This window comes from Homo sapiens, chromosome 13, assembly GCF_000001405.40.
Source record: "Homo sapiens chromosome 13, GRCh38.p14 Primary Assembly".
Classification (NCBI taxonomy): domain Eukaryota; kingdom Metazoa; phylum Chordata; class Mammalia; order Primates; family Hominidae; genus Homo; species Homo sapiens.
In genome coordinates this window covers 42,976,555-42,998,738 of record NC_000013.11, presented here as the reverse complement: position 1 = coordinate 42,998,738, position 22,184 = coordinate 42,976,555, and the positions used below count along the sequence as shown (strand labels likewise).

At 40.6% G+C, this 22,184-nt stretch overlaps 1 protein-coding gene across 12 annotated transcripts in view, besides 5 other annotated features; it reads left to right on the top strand.

The window, feature by feature from the left end:
* Positions 1,077-1,166: an enhancer, noted in NCBI's record as "active region_7659". NCBI's record gives its function as "activates an Ori minimal core promoter by ATAC-STARR-seq in GM12878 lymphoblastoid cells {active_cell/tissue: GM12878}" and the evidence as "EXISTENCE:reporter gene assay evidence [ECO:0000049][PMID:35858748]".
* Positions 5,865-6,104: an enhancer, noted in NCBI's record as "active region_7658". NCBI's record gives its function as "activates an Ori minimal core promoter by ATAC-STARR-seq in GM12878 lymphoblastoid cells {active_cell/tissue: GM12878}" and the evidence as "EXISTENCE:reporter gene assay evidence [ECO:0000049][PMID:35858748]".
* Positions 6,365-6,484: an enhancer, noted in NCBI's record as "active region_7657". NCBI's record gives its function as "activates an Ori minimal core promoter by ATAC-STARR-seq in GM12878 lymphoblastoid cells {active_cell/tissue: GM12878}" and the evidence as "EXISTENCE:reporter gene assay evidence [ECO:0000049][PMID:35858748]".
* Positions 6,498-22,184, top strand: part of EPSTI1 (epithelial stromal interaction 1) — a 105,854-nt gene continuing 90,167 nt past the window's right edge. For 7 of the 12 annotated variants that reach the window (NM_001331228.2, XM_011535313.2, NM_033255.5 and 4 more), the window contains exon 1: positions 6,498-6,761. Coding sequence is in view for 5 of the 12 variants with exons in the window: in NM_033255.5 (NP_150280.1) it covers positions 6,574-6,761 (188 nt within the window). In the remaining 7 variants the exon portion in view is untranslated. Of the gene's footprint in view, positions 6,762-7,556; positions 7,641-22,184 lie in introns of all 12 variants that reach the window. The other 5 variants (XM_047430784.1, XM_047430781.1, XM_047430780.1 and 2 more) reach the window with 1 other exon arrangement.
* Positions 12,633-13,134: an enhancer, noted in NCBI's record as "H3K4me1 hESC enhancer chr13:43559741-43560242 (GRCh37/hg19 assembly coordinates)". NCBI's record gives its function as "activates a minimal SCP1, AML or CMV promoter by ChIP-STARR-seq in primed H9 embryonic stem cells {active_cell/tissue: H9 hESC(primed)}" and the evidence as "EXISTENCE:reporter gene assay evidence [ECO:0000049][PMID:30033119]".
* Positions 21,289-21,458: an enhancer, noted in NCBI's record as "active region_7656". NCBI's record gives its function as "activates an Ori minimal core promoter by ATAC-STARR-seq in GM12878 lymphoblastoid cells {active_cell/tissue: GM12878}" and the evidence as "EXISTENCE:reporter gene assay evidence [ECO:0000049][PMID:35858748]".

Sequence of the window (22,184 nt, the reverse complement as noted above, 5' to 3'; positions counted from 1 at the left end):
TTGGGAGTTCAAGACCAGCCTGACCAGCATGGAGAAACCCTGTCTCTACTAAAAATACAAAATTAGCAGGATGTAGTGGTGCAGGCCTGTAATCCCAGCTACTTGGGAGGCTGAGGCAGGAGAATGACATGAACCTGGGAGGCAGAGCTTGCAGTAAGCCGAGATTGAGCCACTGCACTCCAGCCTGGGCGACAGAGTGAGACTCCGTCTCAAAAAAAACAAAAAAAAAAAAACAAAAAAAACCCACTAAAGATATAGCTCTGTAATGCTTTAGCAATTTAAAACCAAAAGCCACTGAAACTGAAGTTAAGAATTCTTTGAGGACAAATTTAAGTATTATTAGAAAAAATATATAAAGCTCTAACATTGACAACTCAAAAATTATAACATCAACTTATATTGCATCAAGGTGCAATTTATGGCCCTCACAAGCTTCTAAAAGGTAGATAGGACAGGTGGGTTATTATGATTAATATTTCCATCTTACAAATAAAGCAACTAAAGTTCAGAGAGTTTCAATGATTGCCTGAGGTCACAAAACTCTTTAAATGGCTTTGCCAGGTCTCAAGTTCAGGTCTTCTGCCTTTGTGGCCATTACTCTTTCCCCTCTACCACGTTTTCTTACATACCTGGTGATATTTACGAAGGACCATGAAGCTCACAAAAGTGTTGGCTTGGAGTTAAAACATCAGAACAGTTAGGAGTTCCCTAAGAAGGGGCATCATTGGAAAAGGAACAGATATTGAGTAAAAATAACTGGTACTTTAAGGCCGGCTGCGATGGCTCATGCCTGTAATCCCAGCACTTTGGGAGGCTGAGGCAGGCGGATCACTTGAGGTCAGGAGTTTGAGACCAGCCTGACTGAGCAACATGGTGAAACCCCGTCTCTACTAAAAAGACAAAAATTAGCTGGGTGTGGTGGTGCACACCTGTAATCCCAGCTACTCAGGAGGTTGAGGCTGGAGAATCACTTAAACCTGGGAGGCAGACGTGGCAGTGAGTTGAGATCATGCCATTGCATTCTGGCCTGGCCAACAGAGTGAGACTTTGTATGAGAAAAAAAAAAAAAAGTACACACAAAAAATGAAGAGGACTTTAGAGAGTTTCTGTTTGATTCATTTATCACAGCTAAAGAAACCCTTCAGGGTAATCTCCCTGTCAACGCCACTGAGTCTACAGAAGTTTCCCCAAAGTTAAGGGAAATTCCTTCCATTCCTGCAGCTAGCAGAGATCTTGTGACAGCTACTACACAGTGTTAGAACCCAGATATGGCAGCTGTTACCTACTCCTCAGATTTGAATTTACAAACAAGGAAATTCAGCCACCTATCTGAGGGTAGGAAATATCATTTAAAGCACATTTCTACATTCCTCATTTCCCCAAGTGACAGTACACATTGTCATCCGAAAAATAGTGTATCTTTCCATTCTTAAGTAGAATTCTTTGCACTACACTATAAGGCTCACTATTTTAACACGGTTAAAGAAAAGGCCTTTTAGCCCAAATGTAGCATATTTGCAATTCATGAAATGTTGACAAGTTGTATAAAACAGCATCATTGTAGAGATCATTTGATCGTGTAATTATAGGGGTAAATATTGGAGTGTTAAGGTTTTTATTAATGTTGATTCTGACAGGTTCAGAAACTTTGGCATAGTCATTTTGATTTTAGAAAGTAATGCACAGCTGCTCATTGGGATAATTATAATAAGTAAAAAACATGCCGAATTCTGAATTTTGTCAAAAGAGACATTTTGTCACAATCATCTTCCAAAATATGAAAAGCTACACTTGGGGCTCGGACAACTTAAATTTATGTTCCAGCTATGCCACTAGTTTGTGCGCAGTGCTGGTGAGTCATTTGGCTTCTCTAAGCCTCTGTCTCCTTGTTTAGAATAAAGTGGTTAGATGCTCTTAAATATGAAGGTGGAATAACAAGATTCTGTCTGCTTACCACTGTAGCTCCATGGTATGATGCAAAGAATGATACATGCTTGTCATTCAAAAAATATTTCCTGTACGAACTTATGGTGACTCATAATTGTACCATTTCACAATTCTATGGTAGGATTTGAAGAATTTCACATGGAGTTGTCACAATACAGGTATGCTCAAACACATACATACACACACACACTAAAAATGAGGAGATACCAAATATTCAGAGTTTTACATAACTCCTTTGTTAGAAGAGAAAAAAAAAACCTTTAGATAACTGCTGTCCTAAATCTCTTAGATTAATCTAACTTTCCACTGAAGAATCAAATTTAAGGAAATGTGACTTTTTAGAATTTTCAAAAACTAAGATTTTTTTCATTTACACATTTTATGACAAGAAAAGTCTTAGAGTTTATGTATCTCTCTCTATATTTGTACATATTAATGCAGGAGTAATCTAAGGCAATTAATTTAAAAATCAGACATATATTCCCATTTATTTTCTTGAAAGAAGACACACTTAGACATGTTTGCAGTAAAATAAATTGGTAAAGTTTCTTTTTGATTTAATCTTCTCTCTTAAAGCTCATAGGGCTGGCTAAAATTGCTCATTGTATTTCTGAATTTCCATTCCCCAACAATGCCTCATTTTATGTTTTTCTTTACACAACTTTTGGAATCCTTTTTCTTTTCACTCAGTTCTCCTCTTCCCCAGCCAAAATGTCTTTTGCTCAGATTAAACTCATTTACCAAAAGGAACGAATACATGATTATTTCCCAGAGGCAGTTTCATTTGAAAAGAAAAACATTTCCTAAATGAATCTCTAATTGGCCAAATTTCAGGTAAGGTAACAATCCCACTAGATTTCACTTCTTTCTCATGTCTCTTAAAACATATTCCTAGGTAATTGTCTAGTATGGTGGTTTTTCAAACTTTTAAAAGCCATTGAATTCTTGCCTCAAACAAAATTAGGCAGTGGCCTAGTGAGTAGAAGAGATAAGGGGCTAAAGTACTTGGCTAAATAGGGATAGGGGCCCAGGACCCTCCCCACTCACCTCTGCTTCTCTCCACCAGCCACTACTATAGAAAAACGCACCCAAGAACAACTCCAGTAAAAGGCCAGCCCTTATTTTCGCCCAAATGCACACACCTACGGTGAAAGAATGGATGATACACAAGTAGCCCATTCTCGGGCATCCAAAAGGAGCCTGTAGATGTCTGTTGCCATAATAAATCACATTCACTTTTTTTTGTTGTTGTTGTTGAGACGGAGTCTCGCTCTGTCACCCAGGCCGGAGTGCAGTGGCATGATTTCGGCTCACTGCAAGCTCCGCCTCCCGGGTTCACGCCATTCTCCTGCCTCAGCCTTCGGAATAGCTGGAACTACAGGCGCCCACCACCACGCCCGGCTAATTTTTTGTATTTTTAGTAGAGACAGGGTTTCACCGTATTAGCCAGGATGGTCTCGATCTCCTGACCTCGTGATCCGCCTGCCTCGGCCTCCCAAAGTGCTGGGATTACAGGTGTGAGCCACCGCATCCAGCCTCACATTCACATTTTTTAAAACACTTTGAGAATGTGGCAAAACAAGAAGTGAATGGAGTGAGAAATCTCAGGTAAAACAAGAAGTGAATGGAGTGAGAAATCTCAGGTTTGAAACTTTGGTGTGACATGTGGTTGTGTTGTGAAACAAATATGGTTAACTAAGTATATTCTTGAGGCCAACATCCCTATTACTAGCTCCTTTAGGAGAATCAGTTTTCCCCCAGTGTGGGTTTTCCCTTCCTCAAACTTTAAATTTCATCCAACCACCAAAATAATTTTCTCCTTTGAAACAAGAGTTCCAGGGGTATTTTCCTAGTAAAGAACAATGTGGAAGATGGCCTCCAGAAAGGCCCTGCTGTTCCTCTTTTTTGTTGATCTCTAGGTCTGCGTTTCTCACCCCGCTGGTACCTTACACCCAACAGCACCTAAACAGACTTTTAGAACTTCCCTCAAAGCTTGTCCCTCCTCTAGGTTAATGGTTCTACCTCGTATCCAGTCACAAAGCTAAAAGTCACCATAAAGACAGCAACCATTAAATTACTGGGGCTATAAGGTAGGCATACTGTGAAGATCAGGATTTTTCAACTTCAACACTGTTGACACGTGGGGCAGGACAACTCTTTGTCATGTGGGCCTATTCTGTGCATTGTAGGATGTTTAGGAGCATCCCCGGCCTTTACACACTAGATGCTAGCAGCACCTACCCACTTTGAGGCTTCACAATCAAAAATATGTCCAGGCATTGCCAGATGTCTGCTAGAGGAAAAATCAACTCCATTTGAGAACCACTGATGTGGATGATCTCTATTCCTCACAATACCCACATGAGGCAGAGGAGGAAACTGGATCTCTGAGGAATTAAGAGATTTGGCCTTGGTTGTGTGGCCAGTATGTGGCAAAGCTGGTCTCAAAGCACTATAAAAGCCATCTCCCCTTCTCTCTGCTGCCTTCCAGTACTCAATTCTCTCTTTCATCTAGTTTTTATCTATGCTAATCTCTCATGTGAAATGTCTTTTATGTTTTATTTATTTGTTTTGTAGAGATGAGGTCTTACCATGCTGCCCAGGCTGGCCTTAAACTCCTGGCCTCAGGTGATCCTCCTGCCTCAGCCTCCAAAAGTGCTGGGATTACAGGCATGAGCAACTGAGCCTGGCCCATGTGAAATGTCTTGATTTTGCTCCCCACTTTCTGGGTTGCCTTAGCTCAGATCTGTATTTCTTACCTAGACGTAACTAGGCTCTGAATTTATCTTCCCGATTTCAGTCTCTTCATCTTTCAATCTCCGTTTTCACATTGTTAGAAGCTAACTTTGTAAAACAGATATTATTGAGTAACTGCCCTATTGAAAAACTTCCTGTGCCTTCCACATTGCCTACAACAGTGGTTCCCAAAGGGTGATCCTGAGACTGGCATCATTGGTATCACCTGGAAATTTGTTAGAAATGCAAATCCTTGGGCCCCATCCCAGACCTGAATCAGAAACTATATATATATATTTTTGAGATGGAGTCTCTCTCTGTCGCCCAGGTGGAGGTGGGGTTTCGCCACGTTGGCTAGGCTGGTCTTCAACTCCTGATCTCCAGGTAATCCTCCTGCCTCGGCCTCCAAAAGTACTGGAATTACAGGAGTGAGCCACCGTGCCTGGCCATAAATCTGTTTTAACGCACCCTCCTCCAAGTGGTTCTGATGCTTACTGAAATTTGTGAAACTCTGGCCTACTCTACAAAACCCTAATGTCTTAGGATGGCATAGAAATCCTGACTGACTTTCCTACCATGTTCCTTGTCATTATTTTCTCCTCTCCTGTCCCACCCTGGCCCACCCTTCAATTTCATTCTTTCATTAGCTATCAAACCTGTATGTGTCTTTTTGTTCTAAGCACCAATAATATAAGGAAGACAGTCCAGCTCCTAACTGTCTTGCTGACCTAGGACTGGGGTGCTCCAGCCACATGACAACCCCTGGAATTAAGTACACACCATGTCATTTTAAGTGACAAGCCTCTGCCATAGCATCTCCTTCTTCTTGGTGAATTCCTATGTCTTTGGTGGCTCATTCTCAAATGTCCCTGTTCCTGAATTACTCAGAGGGCTAATCCCCAGTTTCTCTGTGCCTCCACAGCTGCCTGTCATTTCATTTATCCCAAAGTGGCATTCCCATTTGTTTACCTGTCTACTAGGATACTCCTAGAATGCAGGTAGCATGAGGGAAGAGCCTTCACTCATCTTTGTGTAGACGGCATTGTGACCCTGGTGACCAACCCTGGCACACATCAGAATCATCTGGGAGCTTTTCAAAAATATGAATGCCAGAGCTCACCCCTGAACCTACAGGAACTGAGCCTTACACATCCATATTTTAAAATGTCCCCACATCACCGTTGCACACTGTTCTGCACAGAGCAGGTATTTTTAATAGTTCTCGAATGTCTAGTCAATTACTTAGCAAGGCTGCCTGGAGAATCATGTCTACCTTAGCTTACTTCTCCGGCTTTGTAGGTTTTTGTTTTCTTTTGATTTCAGTTTCCATTTCCTCTAACTTGAAAGTATGTGCATTGGTAACAGCCACACAGCAGTCATTACTGATAAAAGGCGACATTTTGTTGAGATGATTTTAGTTATTGACCTAATCTCTGGTATTTTAAGGTTAATATATTTTTTACAGTCTCAAATATCCAGCGGTAACCTCAAATTAGAGTTGCCTGTTAAACAGTTTCTCAAGTATCTTTCAGGATTGTAGTCACTCTGCGGGCTAATCGCTCACCAGGTGTCCGTGGCTGATCCCAGTTATTCTGATTAACCTCTAAGGTGATTGTGAGACTTTAAACCGTCTCACCTGTAGCCGACCAAGCCAGCTCAAGTCAACATCCTGGGCTGTTAACCCGCGATAAGGTCGGACGGGGCCTCAGTGGAGAATACGTGGGGAAGTTCTCTGGGGCGGGCGCAGTCTGCTGCTGATTCTGAGAAACCGAAACTCAGCTGTTAAAACCGCTGCCTCTGCACTTTGGAATCCCATCTTGAGACTCGCTAAGCGTCCCAGCCGCATCCCTCCCGCAGCGACGGCGGCCCGGGACCCGCGGGCTGTGAACCATGAACACCCGCAATAGAGTGGTGAACTCCGGGCTCGGCGCCTCCCCTGCCTCCCGCCCGACCCGGGATCCCCAGGACCCTTCTGGGCGGCAAGGGGAGCTGAGCCCCGTGGAAGACCAGAGAGAGGGTTTGGAGGCAGCCCCTAAGGGCCCTTCGCGGGAGAGCGTCGTGCACGCGGGCCAGAGGCGGTGAGTATTTTAACAACCTGGCTTCGGGGCGGGAGCCCGGGCCCCAAACATACTCACTCACAAGCACCTTGGTCCTTGGAGTTTAAAACCACAGGGGCCCAACAACAGGGATTTTGACTGAATGAAAGCTCATTTGCTTAAATGAAAGTATCCATGCCGCACCTTATAAATTGAGTCGGCTAGTTTGCAGTCCTTTGGTAAATAACCAGCCCGGTTCCTTCCAGGAATACTACTTTCCTGATTTTTGTGACTGGCTACAGGATTGAAAGATATGGGTGTGTCGGAACTGCCTAGGCATCCAGTAAGATGTCATTTTCCAGGTATCTCCAGAACTCATACTCCAACCAGTATGGAAATAACTTTTCCCTTACTGTTTTTAAAAATTTGGTGCTGGGCCAGGCGCGTTGGCTCAAGCCTGTTATCCCAGCACTTTGGGAGGCCAAGGCAGGCAGATCACCTGAGGTCAGGAGTTCGAAACCAGCCTGGCCAACATGGTGAAACCCAGTCTTTACTAAAAATAAAAAATAAGCTGGGTGTGATGGCACGTGCCTGTAGTCCCAGCTACCTGGGAGGCTGAGGTAGGAGAATCGCTTGAACCCGGGAGGCGGAGGTTGCAGTGAGCGGAAATTGCGCCATTGCACTCCAGCCTGGGCAACAGAGCGAGACTGTCTCAAAACAAAACAAAACAGAAAAACAAAACTTGGTGTCCTAAACGGAATTACTGTATCAGACACTAACAGGTAAGGGTCAACAAGAAATGTGATATGGGGTAGAAGGTTCAAATTCTGCCTCTAGGTAGGAGCAAGCCTACGTCCCAGCAAGACTCGCAGATAAACTAGCCTCTTACAACCAGAGGAGTGGAGCTGAGAGAGTGAGGAGGTGAGTGACCATAGTACCTCTCATCCCTGATGTTGATATGTGCTCTATGCAGGAACAGATAGGTAGCTTTTATTCCTGGTCTTTGGTTCAGGGACTGCAGTGAGTATCCGGGAAACATTTATTAAGCAAGTGTCATGAGCCTCTCTTTCTAGCCAATGGAATGAACTTTAACTCAACAGTATGGTTTATCACAACATCACTGCCTTTGAAGTGCTGCCTCTGTGAATTGGAACTGTCCAGATGGTTTTATTTTTAGTCTCTCCTTTTTCATCGACTTCTAGTCTCTGAAAGACAAACCCTGGTTGCTAAGAAACAGTATATAACCTTATGGCCGATAAACAGTAGATTTTCTTTCATCCCTTAGCTTTTGGAAAGTACCAGGCCTTTAATATTATTATTTAGCTTAGGTTTACCCTTAGATGGGGTGGATAATCTGGAAATCAATTAGAGATTGTTGCATTTCTTTCCTCCTCAGAATAATTAGTGTCTCGCCACAGTAGAAGCAGCCAATTACTTTCAAGTAACCCACGTATCTACAAGCTATAGTACTTAACAGTAACAAAGGTCACAGACATATGGTCTCGTGTCCATGAATAGTTAACGATGAACATGATTTGCATGACTTTTTTCTGTTAAAAAGCATTTATTTAGATACAACCATTTATTTCTAAGCTCATATCATCGCATAAGTATTAACTGTTGCATCTGTTTTCTTATTTGGTTGTAATTACCCTGGAATCTTGCCAGATCAAATTGCTCAGAAAGAGGCAGCTTTCTGATGGGTTATCCAGGCCTTAATACCCTGAAGAGCTCACTGTACACTATTTTGCGATTCCTGAAAAGATTTTCAAATGAACCATTAAAAAAATACCAGGAAGTGTTTAGTTATCTCTCACAGAGTCTTCCTTTTTTTTTTTTTTTTTCCTCATGTGAACCAGTTGCAGTAAGTACAGAATTATATATTCCCTTTTAGGGGTTTGATGTCTGAGATCCTGTTGGGATGACTTTGAATTTTTGTTGCATCTCCATTAGTTACTTAGATTCACTTTCTCACTTGTTTCCTTTAATGAAGTTGGAAAACCAAGGAAAATGAATGGCAAATATCTCAGTAGAATTAGCTGCCTACCCGCTGCCCCAAAATAAAGAAGGCTTTATTTATTTTGGGGATAAAAATTAGAAACACTTTCTGATTTAAAAAAATGAAGAGGCCGGGCATGGTGTCTCACGCCTGTAATCCCAGCACTTTGGGAGGCCGAGGAGGGCGGATCACGAGGTCAGGAGATGGAGACCATCCTGGCTAACACAGTGAAACCCCGTCTCTACTAAAAATACAAAAAATTAGCTGGGCATGGTGGCAGGCGCCTGTAGTCCCAGCTACTTGGGAGGCTGAGGCAGGAGAATGGCGTGAACCCGGGAGGCAGAGCTTGCAGTGAGCCGAGATCGCGCCACTACACTCCAGCCTGGGCGACAGAGTGAGACTCTGTCTCAAAAACAAAACAAAACAAAACAAAAAGCAAAAAAAAAAAAAAAAGAAAAAAGAGGATAAAGTGCTTTAATAGTACAGTTTCATTTGTCCACTCATAATGTGAATTTATTTATATGGTAAAAGATTTGTCTTGTTTTGTGGGAATCCTTCCATTAATTTCCTCCTGCAGCCCCAGTGTGGGGATTAGGAATATGGGCTCTGATGCTGGGTAGACCTGGGTTCAAGTTCTGATTATGCCATCACTTGCTCTTTGAACAAAATCCTTAGCTACTTTATGCCTCAGTTTCCTCATTACTTAATATAAGACAATACCAACTTCATAGGGTTTTAATTTTTCCACGTGTATATGTGTAAAACATAACTTTATTCCTGGTAAAGTACTATGCTGTCACCCTTAAGTCGAATGTTTGTGCCTTGTTAAAAAAAAACACTGGTTTAAAACACCTACTTGTGGTCGGGCGCAGGGGCTTGTGCCTGTAACCTCAGCACTTTGGAAAGCCAATGTGGGAGGATTGCTTTAGTCCAGGAGTAACATAGGGAGTCCCTTGTCTCTCCAAAAAAAAAAAAAAAAAAAAAAAAATTTAAATTATCTGGGCACGGTGGCACATACCTCTGTCCCAGCTACTCAAGAGGCTGAGGCAGGAGGATAGCTTGAGCTCAGGAGCTCCAAGACTACAGTGAGCTGTGATTGTACCACTGTACTCCAGCCTGGGCAACAGAGTGAGACCCTGTCTCAAATAAATAAATAAATAAATAAATAAACCACCTATTTGCATAGAAAGAAAGTATACTAGTAAAAATCTGTGGCTATCAATATATTAAATTATTCTGAGTACCTCTGATAGACTCTCAGACAAGATTGAGTTCTTTTTTTTTTTTTTTGAGACAGAGTCTCGCTCTGTCGCTCAGGCTGGAGTGCAACAGCGCAATCTCAGCTCACCACAACCTCTGCCTCCCGTGTTCAAGCGACTCCTCTGCCTCAGCCTCCTGAGCAGCTGGTACCACAGGCACATGCCACCATGCCTGGCTAATTTTCGTATTTTTAGTAGAGACGGGGTTTCGCCACATTGGCCAGGCCGGTCTCAAACTCCTGACCTTGTGATCTGCCTGCCTCGGCCTCCCAAAGTGCTGGGATTACAGGCGTGAGCCACCGCGCCTGGCCAAGATTGAGTTCTTGATGGAATTTGGATTTAAGTTATTATAAGTATTTACTAATTCATACTGGCTTTCCCAATTATTTTTACTTGGTGATTTTTGTCTTGTCCTTAAATATCAAAGCTGTCTACACAAATTAAAAGAGAAAAAAGCTTACACAAACTTCTAATCCAAAGTAAACCTTTATCCTTCCTTTTAATATTCTGCTTGTTTGTAAATATTTTACATTATTTATATCACCTCTAGATAAATATAAGACAAAGACATGCATTTACCTAGTTTTATCCAATTCTGGGAAATGGGGTCTTGCCTGTGCTGGTAATATAGGGTTGAATTCACATTCATGTACTTGTCTAACCATACCTGGTCCTTTAGCTTGATGCTGTTTGAAGAAAATAAAAATATATTTTGAAAATGAACCTATAATATGGAATTTTATTTTACAGTTAACTTGAGCTGAATTTGTATGTAAATTATGTTAATCTTAACATTTTTGTGGCCTACTTCGTATTAGTATTGTAGAGACTTCAACATGAGCAATAATAATAATAGCACTTACGTAGTAGCTAGTATGTAAATGCACACTATGTATACTAACTCTTTCAATCCTCATAACCACCATGGAATGAGAGGATCTCTAGCTTAAAAGAACTAATTAAAAACTAGGAACAAATAACTATTCAACACAAAATAAGCCCTTATGAAGCTTACTGTCTAATTGATGGGACAGACATTTATTAATATGTGAACAAATATGTATACTTTAAAGCAGGGGTATCCAATCTTTTGGCTTCCTGGGGCCACATGGGAAGAAGAATCGTCTTGGCCCCACACAAAATACACTAACACTAATCATAGTGGATGAGCTTAAAAAAAAAATCGCAAAAAAACCTCAATGTTTTAAGAAAGTTTATGAATTTGTGTTGGGCCACATTCAAAGCCATCCTGAGCCACCTGGGCTACATGCACCTTGTGGGCCCTGGGCTGGACAAGCTTGCAAGGAAAGCTGGGGTCTCAGCTGGTCTTGGGAGCAGGAAGATCTTTCCTTAGAGGTGACGTTTGAGCTTTGGTCTACAGGATCATTAGGAGTTGTGTGGTTTTTTTTTTCCTGACATCAAATATGTCATTCTAACACCAACTAACTGTGACCCCAACTAGGTGTCCCACAGTTCAATTCTAACACTAACTACTCAGAGTTAGTGTGGACCCCACAAATTAAGGGCTCAGTCCCACAAAACTGCCCCCCACTTCAGACTTCAGACACTAGCTGCAAATGGAGTCTCCAGGCTACCTGTATGTCTACCCACCAGACTACAAAGTTGGGGGTTCCCATGCATCTCCCCTTCCCCAGTTTTGATAATTCATTAGAGTGACTCACAAAACTCGCAGAAATTACTATATTTATGATTACAGGTTTATCATAAAGGATACAACTCAGTCAAGTGGAAGAGATGCGTAAGGCATCTTTTGGGAGATGAAGGGGTAGGTGGTGGGGTGTGAAGAGTTTCCATACTCTAGGTAGATACTTTGATGTGTTCGCCAACCTGGAAGACCCCCAAACCTTATAGTTCAAGAACTTTTATTGAGGCTTTATTACCTAGGCATAATTGATTAAATCAGTGGCCATTGGTGATTAAATCTCCAGCCCCCGCCTCTCCCCAGAAACTGAGATGGGGCTGCAAGTTGTTTTTTTTTTTTTTTTTTTTTTTTTTTGAGATGGAATCTTGCTGTGTCACCCAGGCTGTAGTGCAGTGGCGTGATCTCAGTTCACTGCCACCTCTGCCTCCCAGATTCAAGCAATTCTCCTGCCTCAGCCTCCCAAGTAGCTGGGATTACAGGCATGTGCCACCATGCCTGGCTAATTTTTTTGTATTTTTAGTAGAAACGAGGTTTCACCATATTGGCCAGGCTGGTCTCGAACTCCTGACCTTGTGATCCACCCACCTCGACCTCTCAAAGTACTGGGATTACAGGCGTGAGCCACTGCTCCCGGCCAGGGGTTGAAAGTTTTAACCCCCCAATCGCATAGCTGGTTTTTCTAGCTACCAGTCTCTTAAGCTAGCTGTCTAGGGACCTCACCAACAGACATTAGCATAAAAAAGACACTTAGCACTCTGGGAATCCCAAGGGTTTGGGGAGCTCTGTCCCAGGAACCAGGGACCGTGGCTAAATATTTATTTTTTATTATGTCACAGGAGTTTAAATGGCCTCTGGACAGCCAGAGAAACTTGTTATTCAGATTGTCTTCAGAAGAACTTACAGTGGGGAGCATAGTCAGCTGACGGCCCCAGCTGCCACCCTTTTGGATCCATTACACCTTGCCTGTGAGTGCTGGCTTGTGCTGCACCCATCCCAGCCAATGGCTGAGCATTCCAGGGTGCCAGTGCTGTTGCAGGACTGCCAGGCTTATACGCCCTCTGGGCAGCAACAGACCCATACACTGACAATGGCACTTGCAGCAGAGAAAGAGTTTAATCATCGCGACATTCTCAGTGAGGAAACAGGAGGAATTCTCAAGCCTCAAGTTTGTTTCTTCCATGGGTTCTGGGCAAGGGTTTTTAAGGGGATTCATGGAGGGTGAGGGGCTAGAAAATCTGGGGTTGTCCATTGGACAGCTCAAAGCTGGGCTAGTGAGCAACAACCAGCTACAAGGAAGTGGACCAAAGGGCAAGCTGGCTTAATGATTGCTGCTGCAAGCCCGGTTGGATTTTATTGTTTTGTTTTTCTCTTGCTCAATTTTATACAATTTTCTTGGGATGGTTTTAGTGCTAGCCTATTCCTGGCCCATGCAGAACTCCTCTATTAGGCAACTTTTGCTGGAAGACTCCCCATATTCGTGTCCAAGATTTTCTCAGAACTGTATAACACTGAGGATCTTGCTACTCAATCCTCTTTCCTTCGGTCCTTTCATAGAATGAAAGTTGTCAGACTCAAAATGAGGTCACTTGTGTCAAACACGTGGAGCTGGGGCCATGAAGGGAAGATTCTCATGCACATATGCCTCATAACAAGAACTCTCACAAAAGGCTCTGCAAAAACTACAACTTTGCACAAAAGCTACAACCTTACACAAAAAGTACTTCTGCAAGGACATCTGCCTAGCAACTGTCTGTCCAGCCTTGGACTGATTCTACCCTTGTTGATTTTTGTAGCCAAGGATATTTGTCTCAAACAACTTGTATCACCCTCCTTTCCTCACTTTTCCTTAAAAAACCTTTGTCTTCCTTTGCCTTCTTGAATATACCCACTGTATTCCCATTGCAATGCTCAATCCAGAATAAATATGATTTTCTTTGGGAGGGCCTCTCTCACTGTCTTTTATTTAGGTTTTGGCAATAGTAATCAGACCTAGTCTTGTTCTCAAAGCTTTCCTTCCCTACCCCTGCTCCCACTTTCATCCTTCACAAGCATTCCCCCTTATCCATCTCTTGCTTGTCTAACCCCATCTTGGTGTCAGCTTCTGAAGGACTCAAACTAATACAGTCTCTAAAACACCCTACTGCAACCTCAACACTTAGACATCTTATTTATGTCTGTTGTTGGCATGCTGTCTATGCAGATTGGGGAAACCCATTCTTTTTCTCATTTCCTCCTTCAGGGCCCAGAAAAACATTTCCTAATTTCCTTGATCCAACCTTAATGCGTCCCACCAGTTTGTTATGCTTGAGGGAAGGAAATAATCTTTGTAATCCTTCTCTTCATCCCCAAACTCTCAAGGGAGATAAAAGGAGAATAAATGATGGTTTGATAAGAGCAGTTCATCATGGCCAATCCTGATTTTTCTCTTTTCTCCTTAAAAAGCATTGTTAAATTTTGTAAAGTATTTTGTAATTATAAGATGGAATACAAGGTGGGATATACAATAATAAAGTCACTAAGTTATAGTGTTAAATTTTTATCAATATCACTATTTAGTGTCTATTTTCTGCAATCCTGAAGTATGGTTTCTTATGTCTGAGACAGAACTTAAGTCATTTTGACTCACATTATTTGCATCTGAATAAGCCACATAAAATATTCTGAAATGAAGTACAAGTTTTAACAAACTTATTAGAGCATATTAGAACTGTTTTCACTATTTCTTCCTCACTGCAATGTTCAGATGTTCAATTTCCTTCTCTATATGATTATGAGAATAAAATTCTGCTTATAGATGCTAAGTGGCCTGAATGCATCAGTCTAGTATTCTTCCCTGGAGATGGAGAATTGGGTAATGCTGGAGTTCCTTTTAATGTTATGAAATAATAGTACATTGGAAGATAGTATCTGTGATTGATTGTAATGAGTAATCTTGATGGCTCAATATAGATGGTTATTCATTAGGGGATTATTTAAGTCAATCTCTAGCATGCAGAAAGTTTATAAAGCAACAGATAGTATTTAACTCTTCCTAATGACATGTCTCAATGAGCTGGGTAGATGTCTCAATGATTATCAGATACTAATACTACTACTATTTGACTTATTTTTGAAATGAGAAATGTAATGAAGCATTGGAATCCTGTTGTAGCATAAAGTAAATTAGTTATGATCTGGAAAAATTAAACTGGGTACCCCTGAGAGACTAAAACCAAAATAACAATTAGTAGCTCATGTGTTTTCCATGATTAGCCATGTGCTAGACCTTGTGTTAAGTATGTCAGGTACATTATTGAATATTCTTTTCATGATAAGCCATTTGCTACCTTAAAGATGAGGAAACTGAGTCTTGAAAATAAAATGATTTTCCAAGATCTCATGGCTTTTTGAGTGACAGAACCAGTATTCAAACCTATGTCTATCTACCAAATTTTGGATCTTGAATATGATGTACAGATGGAGAATAGATAGAAGGATTGATAGTACAGCTAGCTAAGGTCTTATCATTGTTTTTTTTTTTTTTTTTTTTTTTTTTGAGATGGAGTCTCGCTCTGTTGCCCAGGCTGGAGTACAATGGCGTGGTCTCAGCTCACTGCAAACTCCGCCTCCTGGCTTCAAGCGATTCCCCTGCCTCAGCCTCTCGAGTAGCTGGGATTACAGGTGTCCACCACCATGCCTGGCTAATTTTTGTATTTTTAGTAGAGACGTGGTTTCACCATGTTGGCCAGGCTGGTCTTGAACTGCTGACCTCGTGATCCACCTGCCTTGGCCTCCCAAAGTGCTGAGATTACAGGCATGAGCCACTGCGCCCAGCCCTATCATTGTTTTATATTGACATTAAGAAAAGAGAAGTTCTATAGGCTAAAGAGAGTGGTAATATCGAAGCAGTAATGTGACATTTACAGTTGCAGAGAGGGGAAGATTTCTTTCCTTACCTATCCCTAGGTTCATGGCTGATATCCCTATAAAAAAAGACAGATTAACAAGAGAAAAGCATACCCATTCATTTAACATAAGTTTTATAGGACATAGGAGCATCCAAAAATGAAGATTCAAAGAACCAGGGAAAACTGTGTCTTTTTATGCTTAGGTTTGATGAAGAGTGGATAGTATATAGAAGTATGATTGGTCAAAAAGGAGTATGGTCTAATGACATAAACTGGGGAAGCTTAGCAAGTCCTGTTTGTTCAAATTCTTTGTGTCTCTATGTCTCCACTTCTTTCCTATGGGTTTAGGGAGGAGGGAGGATCCCTCTGAAATGAGGATATTATGACCTACCTTAGAGGAAGGTCAGAGAAATTTTTTATGGCTTGCTTCAGGGGAAAAAGATGGGAGAAGGTCAGAGAGGCTTTCCTCCTTTTGCTGTTTTCTCAAATACCAAGGTGCTATATTTTGGGATAACATGTCGTGAACCCCATCATAGCTTTAAAATGATTTGAATAGAGAAGTACTTTGCAGGAGAAAAGTTTCTCTGGGGATTCCCTTTGTTCTGCTGCTTTTCACAAATGACAGGTGAGCTTGGTAGCCTTGTGTTAGTGTTACTGGCAAGGGGTCCTGATCCGGACCCCAAGAGAAGGTTCTTGGATGTTACACAAGAAATAATTCAGGGCAAGTCTATAGAGCAAAGTGAGAGCAAGTTTATTAAGAAAGTAAAGGAATAAAGAGTGACTACTCCATAGGCAGAGCAGCCCCAAGGCTTGCTGGTTGCCCATTTTTATGGTTATTTCTTAATTTTATGCTAAACAAGGGGTGGGTTATTCATGCTTCCCCTCTTTAGACCATCTAGGGTAACTTCCTGATGTTGCCATGGCATTTGTAAACTGTCATGGTGCTGGTGGGAGTGTAGCTTTGAGGAAAACCAGAGGTCACTCTCGTTGCCATCTTGGTTTTGGTGGGTTTTAGCTGGCTTCTTTACTGAAAACTGTCTTATCAGCAAGGTCTTTAGGACCTGTATCTTGTGCCAACCTCCTATCTCATCCTGTGACTTAGAATGCCTTAACTGTCTGGGAATGCAGCCCAGCAGGTTTTAGCTTTATTTTACCCAGCCCCTATTCAAGGTGGAATCTCTCTGGTTCAAACACCTCTGACATTAGAGCAGTTATCTCACTCTCACTGTGCAACCTCAACAACATAGTAACTTACAGTGATTTTTTTTTCAGACTTCTGATCATAGCCTGCAGTGAGCAATTCATTTGACATCATGACCTAGTACCTGACTGAGTATATATTAGGGTATATATAACTGAAAAAATTTCACAAAACAATTTTCACCTTTATTATATGTGATGTACTCTGACAGTTTCTATTCTTGTTCATTAAAAATAAATCCACTGAATTGATTTCATAACCCATTAGAGGGTTACCTCCTACAGTTTGAAAAGCACAGTTCTATGCATGGCAGAAGAGACAGAGTGGATGAAAAGAAAAAAACATTTTGGTTTGATTAGATCAAATTTACATTCCTGTTTGTGCAGGACGGTAGAAATTATGGTCCTGTTTAGAAGGAATTTCCAACTTTTCTGCACTGGATTCCATTCCTCAGTATGGTACGCATTTGTGGTCTGCCAAGCCTTGGGGAGCAATCATTTTTGTTCAAATACAATATCACCAAAAATGAATGGGAATTGCTAAAAAGTCTTTGGCAGCTGGAACGGTGAAACAATAAATCAACAGGATGATGAAAGCTTGAAAACATATTACTAACAATAATCAGTAGAACCATAGCAGAAATGAGAAAGAAACTTAGTTCAATTACACAGTAAGGTTACTTACTTCAAAGTCAGTAGAGTGCTGTAAGGTTATACATATTAAGGTTAATTGCATCTATTCAGAATGTATTTGAATCTGAAACAAAAGCTTAAGAGGAAAGAAAATAATCAAAGGGAGATGACTGCATTTGAAGGGTCTATTCTATATCAGAGAATCGGCTGATGATGGTTCCTTTGTTCTGTAATGTTTGTAATTCCCTGTCCCCCACCCCCTGCAAATATGAAGACTTAAAAGAAAATCCATTAAAGTCCTGTAGAAAAACTGAAGATGTTTACCATCATTAAAACTCAAGGGCTAGTATTGCCCATTGTTTGTTTTACTATGGTACTAGTGAAAGCAGAAACCTATGCTACCTAATCTTGTAAGAAAAGCTGAGCCCCTGCTATAAGAAATCTTTATATTAAATATTTCTCTATTAAAAATCTTCAGAATATGTTTCTCTGATTATAAAAGTAAAGTCATATCTGCTTGTTATAAAAACTCAAACATTTCAAAAATAATACAGAATGTGAAAGTCCCCTGCAATTCTGACCCTTAGAAATAAACACTTCAAAGAGTTTAGTGTAAAGAAATCTCTAAAGTACAGATTGCACTCTTTGACTCTTTATTCCAAGTAGAAAACCTAGGGCCATGATGCCTAATATGGTTTGGCTGTGTCCCCACCCAAATCTCATCTTGAATTGTAGCTCCCATAATCACCATGTATTGTGGGAGGGACCCATGGGAGGTAATTGAATTATGGGGGCTGTTTTTTCCTGTGCTGTTCTCGAAAGTGAGTAAGTTTTATGAGACCTGATGGTTTTATAAAGGGCAGTTCCTCTGCACGTGCTCTCTTGCCTGCCACCATGTAAGATGTGCCTTTGCTCCTCCTTTGCCTTCCACCATGATTGTGAGGCCTCCCCAGCCATGTGGAACTGTGAGTCCATTAAACCTCTTTTTCTTTATAAATCACCCAGTCTCAAGTATGTCTTTATTAGCAGCATGAGAATGGACTAATACAATGCCCTTTGATTTCTATTGCCAATAGAATGTGACAGATACTCTTTTTCTAATCTTTGTTTTAAACTGTGATTGCACTCCATCATATAGACGGATCTTGTTTTTCACTTTGGCTTATTATTTAGTTGCACAAGGAAACAACCTTTGTTCTCACAGTGGCATCTTGGATAACATGTCTTATCTAGTATTCTTTCTAAAAATGTTTAACCTAATCGAATCATGAGGAAATAATCTTTTCCTTACATCCAGATTGTGAAGCATTCTATAAGAAAAGTTACCTGAACTCTTCAAATATGTCAGTCATGAAAGAAAGAAAAAAAAAGTCAAGGAAATTGTCTGAGCTCATAGGAGTCTACAAACACATGTCAAACCATAGAAATGTGTAATCCATAATTGGATCTAGGATGAGGTAAAGGTAGGGAAGAATATTAAAATGGAAACAATTTGGAAATTTGAATATAGACTATTAGGCAATATTAATGTTAAATTTCTTGGTGTGATAATGGTATTATATTTAAGTAGGAGACTGTTTTTATTTTTAGGAGATACATGCTAAAATATTTAGGGATGATGTGTTATGACCCTGCAGCTTATTTTCATATGGTTAAAAGAGAAAAAGCAAATGTGGGAAAACATTAACAGTTGGTAAATATAAGTAAACAGTATATGGATATTCATTTTAATAATATATAACTTTGCTTGTTAGGCTTAAAATTTCTTTTCTTTTCTTTTTTTTTTTTTTTTTTGAGACGGAGTCTCCCTCTGTCGCCCAGGCTGGAGTCCAGCGGCGCGATATCGGCTCACTGCAAGCTCCGCCGCCTTCCGGGTTCACGCCATTCTCCTGCCTCAGCCTCCTGAGTAGCTGGGACTACAGGCACCCGCCACCACGCCCGGCTAATTTTTTTTTTGTATTTTTAGTAGAGACGGGGCTTCGCCGTGTTAGCCAGGATGGTCTCCATCTCCTGACCTCGTGATCCACCCGCCTCAGTCTCCCAAAGTGCTGGGATTACAGGCATAAGCCACTGTGCCCCACCGGCTTAAAATTTCTTAAAACATTGGGGGAAATACAATTTTAGGTGATATTCTAAAGCTCATTGTGCCTATTGTTATTTTTTTCCTTTTCTCTTTTGGAACCTGGAGAATGTAAAAGAACTTTTCTTATGAAGCTGTATGCTTAAAATTTGTGCCGTTTTCTGTAGTTACGTTATACGTTAATACATAATTTAATGAAAAAAGCCTGGGCTCAGAATCATGCTACCATTTACAGGAGAAAAAATATGTACTAATTTTTAAGATGTATTATTTATAAATACTACTTTGTTTCATGCAGTGGTCCTTATTATTCAAAGGAAAGAATCAGGAACCAGGATACAGTTGTTAAAAGGAAGAGCCAGAAACAGGGATATAAAGAAATAATTAGAAAAAACTTAATGATATATATTTATGAAAGAAGATGCAGCAAAGGGAATCAGTCACAGCATGAAGAAAGGAGATGTCCTAGTGATTCAGGGCTAAGTTGTTACATATAAAATAGATGTCATATATGTTATATATAGTTGTTATAATTACATACAATGCAATAGATGTCCCCTTAGTTATCTTAAGTAAGTATCTATGGCTTTCTTTATTTCTCTCCCATAAAATAAGTCTGAAGGTAGGTAGTCTAGGGATGATCTAATACAAATAATGGAAAACTATAATAGAATATTTGTTATTTTCTGGCATTGTTCTCAGAACTGTGAAATGAAAAGAAATCCTGGGGTCCCCAAATCACTAAGCTAAAGGGAAAAGTCAAGCTGGGAACTGCTCAGGGCAAACCTGCCTTGCATTCTATTCAAAGTCAGCCCTCTGCTCACTGAGATAAATGCATATCTGATTGCCTTCTTTGGAAAGGCGAATCAGAAACTCAAAAGAATGCAACTGTTTGTCTCTTATTTATTATGACCTGGAAGCCCCCTCCCCGCTATGCGTTGTCCCACCTTTGCTTCCAGTTGTCCTGCCTTTCTGGACTAAACCAATGTTCATCTTACATATGTTGTTTGATGTCTCATGTCTTCCTAAAATGTCTAAAACCAAACTGTACTCTGACCACCTAGACCACATGTCATCAGGGCCTCTTGAAGCTGTGTCATGGGTGCGTCCTCAACCTTGGCAAAATAAACTTTCTTTTTTTTTTTTGAGATGGAGTCTCGCTCTGTGGCCCAGGCTGGAGTGCAGTGGCGTGATCTTGGCTCACTGCAAGCTCCGCCTCCCGGGTTCACGCCATTCTCCTGCCTCAGCCTCCCAAGTAGCTGGGACTACAGGCGCCCGCCACTACACCCAGCTAATTTTTTTTTGTATTTTTAGTAGTGATGGGGTTTCACCGTGTTAGCCAGGATGGTCTCGATCTCCTGACCTCGTGATCTGCCTGCCACGGCCTCCCAAAGTGCTGGGATTACAGGCATGAGCCACCACACCAGGCCTTTAAACTTTATAAATTAACTGAGGCCTGCCTCAGATATTCAGGGTTCACAGCACTTTATATCCTATGAAGTGGATAGTTATCCCGATTTCACAGGTGAAAAAATAGAAAAACTGAATAATCTGCTCAAAGTTGTACAGATAGGAAATAACAGAATTAGGGTTTGAAGTTGGGCAGTACAGCAACGGATTACCACTGATGTGGTGTTTTCATGGTCACAGAGCACCAGACTGCTTCTGACTTTCTGCTCTGCCATTCCTGATCATGTCTTCCATATTCAGGTTGCCTCATTGACTAAGATGGTTGCTTGAGCACCAGCTACCACATCAACCTTCCAGGAAGAAGGAAAGTAACAAAACAGCTTTTTCTATTTGTCTACCACCACTTAAAGGAGGCTTTCTAGAAATCTCTCTCCGTGACTTCCACTTATGTCTCAATTTCTCAAACTTAATCACATAATTTTACCTAACTATACAGAAGGTTGGTGGCTGTAGTCTTTTAATTGGGCACATTCTCTGTCTGAATAATACAGAAGTGCTATTAGCAAGGAGGAAGTGAGAGTGAATGTTGGGTAGGGCCTACATCTCTTTTGGTTAAAGAATAAAGGATGTCACACATAAGAGTGGAAATTAATCATATGATTATGTTGTCTCAGATTTTTGAAATGTAAATAGGATATCTAAGGAAGAAAAGTTTAAATGTAGCCCACATTCCTGTTCAGAGTATTGAATTCAGAGGACTGTTAGTGTTTTCTTCTGGATAATGTTCTGCTGAAAGCATTATGCTTTGTACATCCTGTAGGATTATTTATAATAGTGAATAATTGAAACAGTTGCAATAGTTGAGTGGTTATATGATGCACCAATATCATGAAATACTACATAGCCATTGAGAATTAAGCATGTTACATATATAATCAAATTAGGAAAACCACTTATAAATGAAAGCAGGATGTACAGCTGTACTTAAAATATGTTTGCAACTGTGTAATAATATGTATAGAGCATAGATGAAAAGTAAATTCACCCAAATAAAATTGTAATTGTGGTGTTTGAGAGGTGGGATTATATGTGACTTTTAAATGTTTTTAAAATAGTTTTCTGAATTTTCTTTTACAAGTATGTTTCTTTCAAAATCAGAAAACATGAATTTCATTTCTAAGTGTTCTATGTACAGATTTTGGAGTACATCACTATGTCTTGCATTTCTGGTTTTTTCCTTTAAGTTATAGATAACCTTGAGTAAGGCTTGAGACAGAAACATAATCCATTCTAAGTCTATTAATAATAATAATGGGAAGAGAAAATATATAGCA